The sequence below is a fragment of the Homo sapiens genome, chromosome 21 (genome assembly GCF_000001405.40).
Source record: "Homo sapiens chromosome 21, GRCh38.p14 Primary Assembly".
NCBI classification, from domain to species: Eukaryota; Metazoa; Chordata; class Mammalia; order Primates; family Hominidae; genus Homo; species Homo sapiens.
The window spans coordinates 13,771,728-13,782,597 of record NC_000021.9 but is presented as its reverse complement, the minus strand read 5'-3'; the positions used below and the strand labels follow the sequence as shown (position 1 = coordinate 13,782,597).

At 38.1% G+C, this 10,870-nt stretch overlaps 1 pseudogene; it reads right to left on the bottom strand.

Moving 5' to 3' along the window:
- Positions 1-3,785: 3,785 nt before the first annotated feature.
- TERF1P1 (TERF1 pseudogene 1) lies at positions 3,786-6,512 on the bottom strand (annotated as a pseudogene).

Here is a 10,870-nt window from a genome sequence, read left to right as displayed (position 1 = left end):
TTTCTCTCTTAGCAAGGTACGGCTTTTCCAATGTCCCCTCTTGCTTTGCCAAGTTGAATTCCAAAGTTGTGTTAAATCTCAGCTAAATCAGTGTATTTGCCTTTCCTGCTTATGGCATTAATTGCACTTTACCCATGCTATTATTTTCCATTTAACTTTTTAGACTTCCTAATTCCTTCATGTATTCTGGGATACCATTTGGATATGGAGATATTATGCAAATGATGTAGAAAGGGAATGAACTTCAGCACTCCAGGTCAGAGTTACTTGGCTACTTTTAAGTATTTTTTGCACCTTCTTTTTTGGTCCTTGGGAACCTTGGACAATAAGCTGTTATCCACTTACATTTCTGAATTATACTTACATGAATCTGGTGCCAGAGAAAGTTCTATGGTAAAGAATTAAAAGCAATGATCCCACTGTTTACAATCAGAGCTGGTGACTAATGAGGGTGCCTCTCCTGACTCCTATCCCTCTTGCTAACCTTCCTCAGAGGAGTAAAGTTCATTGAGGCTGAGTATCTTCCAGACTCCTATTTTCTTCCACATAAAACTATACATTTTGTGAAAAAATTGGATCAGGGATTTTACTCTCTCAGGCATTAACTAGTAATTCATTCACTTTAAGAAAAGTGCAAGGAGAGGGGACAGAATGAAAATTGTAAGCTACCCTTTGGATGGGCTTATGAAAGGCCCATTTACTCACAGACTATAAGAAATGGAATGTGTATATTAACAAAAAGCAAACTGGAATCAGCCATGAAGTTGTGAATGTAGGAGAGGGGATTCTCCATCTTATTTTGTTTTTCCTTTTAACTTAAGAGCCAATTTTGCTAAGGAAGCCAAAATCCCTGTCTGTCTGGCCCATCATAATCGGATGTATGTAGAAGGTAGACAGACAAGGCACATGACAATGGCACAGATGCCGTTGGGTTTATGTCTGTCAAAGGGGGAGAAATTGTTCTTTTAAGATCCAGATTTTGAAGGCAAATAAACAAAAATTTCAGTCCCAAACCCACCTCCTCCTCATTGTGTGGTCTCTAGTAAGTTTCTGAAAATGTTTAAGCTTGGCTTTGTCAGCTAGAAAGTGGCAATAATCATTTAACCCATAAGTACCAGGTCCTGGCTGGATCAGTTGGCATGCTAAAAAAAGGATAACTGAAGAGGGTTTAATCAAGAGTTCATTCAGGGTATGGACAAAGCTAAGGAACCCACTAGAAGCAATGACGCACCCAAGGACTAGAGGTGGTGAAGGCCATTCCTACCATCAGTCCTGTAGGGATGGGGGAGGTAGGAGCTCTTATCAGAGCACTGGGGAACCTGCACATGGGAGATACTACCCAGCAAGAGCTGCTTCAGTGAGGGATGCTGCCACCGCCACTGCCACATCACTGCCTGGCCAGGTGGGGGTGGAATAAACCCCACTAAGGCTCTTTCCTCTTGCTTTCCAATCCCATGGCAATGTGCTCCATTGGCTGCACTTGACGTAAAGTCAGAGGACAAAGGAAGAGAGTGGCCAAGGAGGTGAGCTTCCTTTGCACAAAATCAGGTTAGAAAAGGATGAAGAGTGGATATGGAGGAGCAAATAGATAATTTTCAGCATCTGTCTGTATTAGATGACTGTTGTTTGCCCAGTATCCCTTCTTTTGAGTAAATGCTATGCCTCGCTCCATAAAACTTGAATGAGGCTGAAATAACATTTACCCTTCTCCAATGACCAGGACCAGAGAACTTCATCACCCTACCCTCTAGCAAATCAATCAAATTCAAATTTGAGATTTAATACAGGGTTTCTGGAAAATAGATAATCTCTTTTTCATTTGGATTATGAGCCATAAGGATGTAGACTTGGGCCAAGCAACAGTCATCTTTCCAATTATGCAGAAAGAACTAGCCTGACAGCAAAGACAATGCAAAAAGAGCACAGAAGAGTCCAGGAATAGGGAGAAAGAGGCAGGTCCATGGTGACTTTGTTTGAGGCCCTTTGTTTAATTATATCTAAAGGCAGATATGCTTTTTAACATTTCAGTAATATGCTTTTTAATATCCTATATTGGAAGAGTGGAAAAAGTTAATAAGGAAATGTGAAGCACCCAGAGGTTAGCAACAACAGAAAGTCTCTATGATATCAGAAATGGAGCACAAAGGGAGGCAATGGCACTACGGGATTCTCTGAGTTGGGGCCTCAGTAGGACCTGGAATCATGGAGAAGGAACTGCTTAGGAAATGCCAAGGCTGCCAGGCTGGAAGCATGGCAAAGACTGCACAACAGGAACCGAAACCAGAGAAGAGATGCTACCTCAAGTACAGAGAGTGAGAAGAAATAGTCTGGCTTCTCCTTCCCTTCCACCCTTTGGATGCCTGCTCCTCTGCCTTCACTTAGCTAAACCTAAGTCTGAGACTAACATTCAGAGCTGAGCAGAAAAAGGGGCAGGGTATGGCTTTCAGAGCAAATGAGTAATACACGTGGTCAGGACATATTCGTTCAGTTTTCCTCTTTCCTTCCAAAATGCATTCCAAACTTTAATGAAGGATACACAATTTTTTCTCAAATCTCAGAGAATGGGGGTCAGGTTATTTTCTGCTTAGAAACTTGAGTGGGTTACTACATAAGACAAGGCAATTTGGTCTGATATTCAAGTTCATTTAGACTATTGCCATAATTTATGGGCATGAAATAACATGATAGAAAAATGTAAAGGTAAATTGAAATCCAGTCACATTAGGCTACTTGCTCTTTTTGATTAGAGTATATTTTCCTGCACTTGCTAATAATATTCCTTCTGCCAGGCTTACCATCTGCTTCCCCATTTTTCTTTACTGAGATTTTATCTTCACATCACAAATTAAGTGCTATTCCTTCAAGAAACATACTGGCTTGCCCAAACTTTGTTGTATCTCTCCCTTCTTAAACTCTTATATCATTCTCATGGCACTCAACACTTTGGATCTTGTGTTTTAGATATTGAAATTTCTATCATATGCTTTGATAATAGATTGTGATTTCTGCAAAGGCAAAGAGTGATTTCCTCAACTTTGTATCCTTTGGGGTGGGTTTAAATGATCTCTTATACCTACTAGGTGTTTGATAAATGTTTGTTGTAGCAGATGAACACCTGAAACAGTAATTCAGAACCTTAGGTTCTAGTATTTTCTATGTCACATTAGTGTGACTTGCAGAATGGCTCAGCTTAACTTTTCCTATGTATAATGAATTCAGACTAGATGAATTCCAAGGTCCCTCCTGGCCCTTTCAATTCCCTAATTTCAAGTGGAATTTAGAAGAAAAAATTTGTAAGCAGCAATTTTATAGTTCAATTATGGAATTTCTACTTGGGGAAAGCTAACATTTCATGATCTCATTCTTGCTGGATTCTTTCTCAAGATTTTCCATGGAGCTGAAATTTACCCATGACCTTGAGAAAGAAATGCACATGCTTCATGATCCTCACTCCACTTTCTTGTCCTTAATGCTTTTCCTCTGATGATTGCTCATTTCACACCCCAAAAGGAACTCATTTTATAAACGTTTTACAGCGCAGCAAGCAGTAAAGAATAAGAAATTACAAAATATTATATCCTATGAAGAAACACTCTCCTAATGCATCCACAAAGAATCAAGCTCATAATTGCTGGTTTGTCAATTATAATGGTAAAATATGTATTTATATAATACATATGATATGATGGATGCTATTGGAGTGAGTTTGGCATATTTATTTATTTATTTTTTATGGTACTCATCCATGTTTCTGTTTATATATAGGATAACAAATTCAGAAACAATGGGAAAGTAATATATGAAACCTTAATAGAAAATACAATAGAGATCACAAAACACTGCCATTTGATTTTTTATGCAAATACTTCAATATTCCAATATTTTTACTCACTTGCTAAATAAAGCACATGACTCGAAATGCTAAATAATTCTGTTAGTCTAAATCTTTTAGATAAAATGTTGGTGAAAAACCAAAATTATTTAGTAAGGTATGTATGACCTTGTTTATTATCTATCATAGACATCAAGATGATCATAGTTAATACCAATTTAAGCTTTATAGAATACTCTTTTAGGCCCAATATTGATATATTAAATGAAGGTATCAGAGAATCTTGTATTTATGGCATCAGGTTATAAAGATCTATTCAAAACCATTTTTGTCAAAGTTTAAACACTGGAACAAAAGTCAAATTGTTTCTAAATGAGACACAAATGATTCTTGCTAATAGTACAAATTTTGTCCCATGGGTAATACTATTGTCTTTTTCTTTTTTAAAACAATTATTTCAATTTTTTTTTAGATTCAGGGAACACATGGGCAGGTTTGTTAGCTGGGTGTACTGTGTGATGTTGAGGTTTAGGGTATGGATGATCCTGTCACCCAGGTAGTGAGAAGAGTCCCCAGTAGGTAGTTTTTCAGCTCTTGTTCCCGCTCCCCACCCTACCTCCCCAGTGTCTGTTATTCCCATGGGTCCTCAGGTATTACTATTTTCAAGTTTTTTTCTTTACATGAAACTACTGAAAGCAAAAGTATGTCATGCTTGTAGGTTACTCTGTACATTTATCATTCTATTAATAAACATCTTAAGTAATTAAGTAGTGTATTAAGGCCATAAACCAAGTCATTATCTCCTATCAAAGGACTACTGTTATTCAGTCGTCTAGAAAATTCATTTTAGGCAGGACACAGTGGCTCACTTCTGTAATCTCAGCACTTTGGGAGGCCGAGGTGGGTGGATCATGAAGTCAGGAGTTCGAGACCATCCTGACCAGCATGGTGAAACCCCGCCTCTACTAAAAATACAAAAATTAGCTGGACATGGTGGTGTGTGCCTATAATCCCAGCTACTCAGGAGGCTGAGGCAGGAGAATTGCTTGAACCCGGGAGGCAGAGGTTGCAGTGAGCTGAAATTGTGCCATTGCATTCCAGCTTGGGTGACAGAGAGAAACTCTGTCTTAAAAAAAAAATTCATTTTAATGGGTTATGTTACAGTGTTGAGGTCAGCCTACAGACACAAAATAGGTTAACTGAATTTTTTTTTCGTAACAGGTTTTAATTTTTTCATTGGAACAGGTTTTGGGGGTGGGGATACTAAATGTGGCAGGGTTCAACAAATTTACATTTTATCAAAATAAAGTTCTTAAAGAATACAATGATAGCATATGCTCTAACTCTTATAGCACAAACCCTCATATTAATTGATGGTCACAGAAAAATACTGTAATGCTTAAACAAAAGTTTTAAAATACATCAATGACACAAGTTTCAAACAAAATGCAGTGATCAAAATACTTAACTGTCCTTTCATCAAGCTTTTACAAACACAATCAGTCTTCGCTGTCTGAGCAAATCAGTTTTAGTTTCTTCATGGTCCTCCATCTGTCTTTTAACATGACACTTGTCCGGTTGTTGAATTTATAATTCCCTCTCCATATTTCCTCATGCCAGATCTCAAATTCTTGTCTTCTTCCTGAAGCCATGCCTGTCTTTTTCTAGCTCGATGTTTTTCAGGAGTTACCGGTTGACTCTTTGAAACAGGTATTCAGCTTTCAGTGGCTCTTCTGCTTTCTTTTTTCTTTTTTGTACTTTGAAGAGTTCCTACTCTTCTTTCTTTCTTATTAAGGTCTTGTTGCTGGGTCCCATGTTGTAACTTAGATAAGAAAAGATTCTTGTGAGACCTTTTTCTTGTATCCAAATTAGCTTCAGTTTCCGTTTCAACATAATTTTCATTAGCTTTATCTTGAGAAGTTATTGTTCTTGTTCTTTTACTTTCTACTACTTTTGCTGCTGCCTTCATTAGAAAGGTTGATGATTTTTCACTTAGCACATAATTCACATAACTCTTAATTTTCTCCATCATGTGATTGTAGCTGAAGTGTTGAAAAAAGGAATGAAATGTATCTTTCTGAGAGATTATCATAAGCAATTTGCTTTTGAGAGGCATATAAGAATTTGGATCACCAAATATTCTTTCAAAGACTTCTGCTTCTTTAAAGTTGCCATTTTCCATACAAACAGCTATAGCCTGAATTTTAATTAAATTCTGTATTTCTTCTTGAAGTTTGTCATGTTCCTTTTCAGTTGAACCCCAAATCATCAGGGCTGATTCCAAGGGTGTAATTCATTCATCATTTTCAAACTGTGCATCAAGGGTTTTTCCTGCTGCAATTCTTGTCAAAAACTGACATATGTATATCGTTCTCAACTGGTAAGCTGTTAGACTGGATAGTCCATGAATAATAGCCTCTGCCCTGTTGCGGATCCTGCAGAAGTCCTCCGAGCGGCCGTCGCGGAAAGCTCGGCAAAGAGAGAAGCGGAGGAAATCGAGCATCCAGCCTGCAGCCACGGCCTCGGCCTTGGCCACCAGGCCCGCGTCCTCCTCCTCCTCCTCGGGGGCCCCCACCTGCACCTGGCACTTGAGCCGTTCCTGGCATTCGAACTGCTCCTCGTCGTTTCTCTCTGTTTCTGCCATCTGCTCCTCGGTAGGGTCGGCATCTCTACCATCCGCCGGCATATTTATTACAATTTATTTTTATGAAAAAAGATTTAAAAAAGAAATGTCTGCCCTAAGCAGTTTCATGAAAATGGATAAATACAAAAGCAAGCACAAGAGTATTCAGTAGAGAATTTTGAGCCTGAACAATCAAGTTTCAGGCAAATCTTGTGTGGTTCATAATTTTAGCCCTTTATTATGCAAACCTGCCAATTCAATTTTCCAATGCAAGAAATGTTGGGGGTGATTATCAAGTTATATTTACTGTTCTGTGGATCTACTAAAATATGCACTATCTTGAAAGAGTCTGTTCAAATTACCTTGGAACACACTTTTAGATCCTCTTTTGTAAGCAAAAGTTGACAGACTAAAATGTATTCTTTTTTAACTGGCATCAGCATGTGAGACTTTAGAAAAATTGGTAGAGCAAATAATGATTCTGTTGCAGAGCCAGACAAATAACTTCCAAATCAACAAATTCAAACAGAGAAAAAAAGTTGTTGATCTTAGATGAATTGCCACATGTTGCCACTTCCTTTCACATGTGTCTTGGTAGAAAAACTCTCATATAGAATTTTTCCCACCCATCAGAAGAAAGTAGTTATTATCTCAATTTCCTATCTCCTCTTCTGCATCTCACGTTCTGAGGAGATAAATATTAGAATCTCAAAGTATCCACTGCTAAAACCCAGAGATAAGGGGTTGAGATGCAAGTTGGAAAAACTGGGAAAGTATTAAATTCTGGACCTCTCTTCCCCCTCTGGCTTCTCTCTCATCTCTCTCACTCTGTCTGTCTGTCTCTCTCTTTCTATCTTCCTTCCTCTTTCTAAAAGACCTTGAAAGAGTTTTATGTATATGCAGAATCAAATTTCTCTCCTCTCTTCTTCTCTCTTCAGTGCACTCTGTTCAGGCTTCTGTTGTCATCTCTCCACCAAAACTGTTTTAGTCAACATCGTCGATGACCTCAATGCTACTAACACCAAAGTTCTAGTTTCAAGCTTTGTCTAACTCAACTCTAGCAGCATGAAACACAACTTATTACTCTCTACTCCTTGAAGCATTGTCTTGTCTTCCAGGAATGTACACTGCCAGTGTTCCTTCTCTTATTGCCTGCTCTTTTTCAAGGTTCCTTGCTGGCTCCTCTTTTTCTTTCTGACAAATAGAAGTATTTCATGGCTCAGGCCTTGAAACTCTTCCCTTATCCATCTAACTATCCATTCACACTCACTTTCTTCATGAGTTCATCTAGTCTTGTGATAACTTCTAAATACATAACTTTAGTCTCAGCCTCTTTCCTGAGATATAGACTCAGAGATCCAGCTGACTACCTGATGTCTCCACTTGAATGTTCAATGGCCATCTCAAAGTCAACATGTCCGGAACCAAGCTTCTATATTCAATCCAGCCTCCCCAAATTTGCTTCTGCTCAGCCTGCCCCAACTCAGTGGATGGTGATATCATTGATCCAGTCAGGACTAGGACAAGAGTGAAGTAAGCCAACCACTTAGGCACAAACTTTAAGGCATTCAGAGCATCAAGGAAGTGCTGACCTTGCTTTTGCATGGCTATGCAAGGGCCTCCTTAAATTGTATGCCCTCAGCATCTCACTTGGCTCACCCTAGTACCAGCCCTGCTTCTTCTTGCTCAAGCCAAAAACTTCAGCATCATCCTTTATGCCTCTGTTTCTCTCACTGTCTCTTCCAATCTACCAGGATATCCTATTGGCTCTACCTTCATTAATATTAAAGTGTTTGATCCAGTTATTAAAGAAATAATTAGATATATCAAAAGAAATGGAGGAGTTATTATAAAAATATAATTCTTGTCCTAAAGAAGAAAAACCAAAAGTCTGCTCTTATTTTCACAAAGGCAGGGAACTAATAGAAGATAGACATACTGTTTCAAGGTGTTTAAAAAAATTAATAGACTTTGATTTTTAGACCAGTTTTAGGTTTTCAGAAAATGTGAGCAAAATATATGGGGTTCCTGTATACTCTCTTCCCCCACCAGCCTCTGGTTTTTCCTATTGTTAACATTTTGTGTTGGTGTGGCACATTTGTTACAACTGATGAACCAATATTCATGCATTATGATTAACTAACATCCACAGTTTATATTAGGATTTAGTCCCTGTGTTGTACGGTTCTATGGGCTTTGCTAAATGCATTATGTCATATATTTCCCATAACAGTATCTTAAAGAATAATTTCACTGCCCTAACAATCTTCAGGGGCTTATTTCCTCTCAGCTAGCAGTGACATCTTTAGGTACAAGTACACACCACCTATAACAACTTAATTTATTGCATTCTAGGCAAGCCAGGGCAGGGACTGAGGACAGTGACAATGTCACCTATCTTCCATTCAGGAGCCTGTGTTTGGTGCAGAGCCCAGGGTTCCTAGGTCCAGCCTATATGCTCCAATGGTGGTTTCCTACACTCAAAGACAATGAACTTGCAGATGCATCACAAACACCTGGTGCTCTGCAAAGCTGTCCTGATTCCTCCTAGCAACATGAGATGCCACATTTTCTTTACTCTAAGGTGTCAGGCACATGATCATGGTATTCATCAGGCTATCTGATCCTCTGATTATATGTCAGTCTCCCAGACTAGATCAGGGGCTTTTCAAGGGCAGAAGCTCCATCTTAGTCATCTGTGTCTTCCTCAGGGCCTGTACTTGCCATTTGTTGATGATATGAAAAGAGTTGGGGTTGTGAGGGGGAGGAAGAAGGATAGTGGAATGAATAAAGGGAAAAGAGGGAAAGAAAAAAGACAGGGAGATAGGGAAGGTGTTGGTGCCCATGCCCTCGGTCACAGGTCACTATGGGTGGGCACAGGTGTTCAGCACCAGAATGACAGGAAGATGAGCAAGAGAGGGCATCTCTGAGTCAGGGCTGGTGCATTTCTCACACCCAACAATCCAGCCACATCACTGACGAATCTGGGATGTTGTACTTTTCCCCACCAGCAGCCCTAGTTGCACGTGACAGGCTATCGCCTGCTATTGCACTGACTTCATATATTCCTAGTACCTCAGGGTTAATGAGTTCTCAGTTACGTGGAACAGCTTTGTTTGATAGGTTACTCTAGTTTTATATGTAAGAAAGCTTGGTGTTCTTATATTATTTAATATATTGATTTGCTACATTGTATAAAAAGACAAATAAATGAGACTTCTTTAAACTGTCTTAGAAGAAGTCTCAAGTCTCCTGTGGCTCTCAAACCTCAGTGTGGACAGGCAGTTCACGACATTTGTTGTCCATAGTGTACTTGTTTGGACAGTTTCTCAATTTCCAAACAGCAGTGATGTTTTTTTGCAACAAATAAGTTACAAAACAAAATATTTCACGTTTTGTCCTCCCTCTGATAGAAATCTTTGTGGTCCTAAACAATTAAAGCTCCTTAGTTTAAATTGGAAGTATTATTAAGGAAAGTTGAAATTTTATGAAAGTGATTAAATTGAAGATTCAAAAATGTGTCTACATTTGGGAATATTGATTATGACTTTAATGTTAACTTTTTTGATCTGATACCATTTCCAAAAATTTAACCTACAGAAATACTAAAACATATGTGCAGTTATAGGTTAAAAGAATATGATGAAATTATTTGCAGTAGGACAAAATTTAAAACAATTCAAATGGTTTTAAAAGAGGATTAAATAACTATATTCAATGATGAGTAAGTAGTAGGTTAAAAAATGAATTATTTTGAATAATAAGAAAAATAAAGATTCTAAGATACGTATTCAGTGAAGAAAGTTTCAGGATCACATGTTTGCTATTATTTCATTTTTGCAAAACAAACAAACAAGAATAAAACCAAAAGCTACACACGCACGTGTGCGCGCACACACACACACACAGTGCAAGACACTTGTGAATTGAAGGGGGTAATGTTAATATTCACACAGGAACCATCAGCATGATATAGGAGTGTCAAGAAAACCAGGATCTATAATCACCTTAATTTAATGGACTTTATATTCTGTATTATACCTTACTATCTATAAGAATAAAATTAAATTTTCCATACTTAAAGTATCTATAAAAAATTGAGTAAATTGTAATCTTGGATCTCAAGTCCAGTTCCTCTAGTTCTCTCAGAACTATCTCCCTTCATTTCAAAGTTCATGGATTGATTTTTGGTTTTCCTAAAATGTACCACTGTATTTTAAATTTACACTTCACCAGGGCATTCTTTTTTCTTGTTCTCTTATTATTAGAACATACATTTAACCCCTTCTGACAATCTAGTCATTGTAAACCTCCCAGCTTTATCAACTGTCATCTTCCAAGTACTCACAGTGCAGATTTCTGGTATTATAATGGCCTTAAATTTTTTCCTTTGGATTTTTTTGAAAATAAATTAC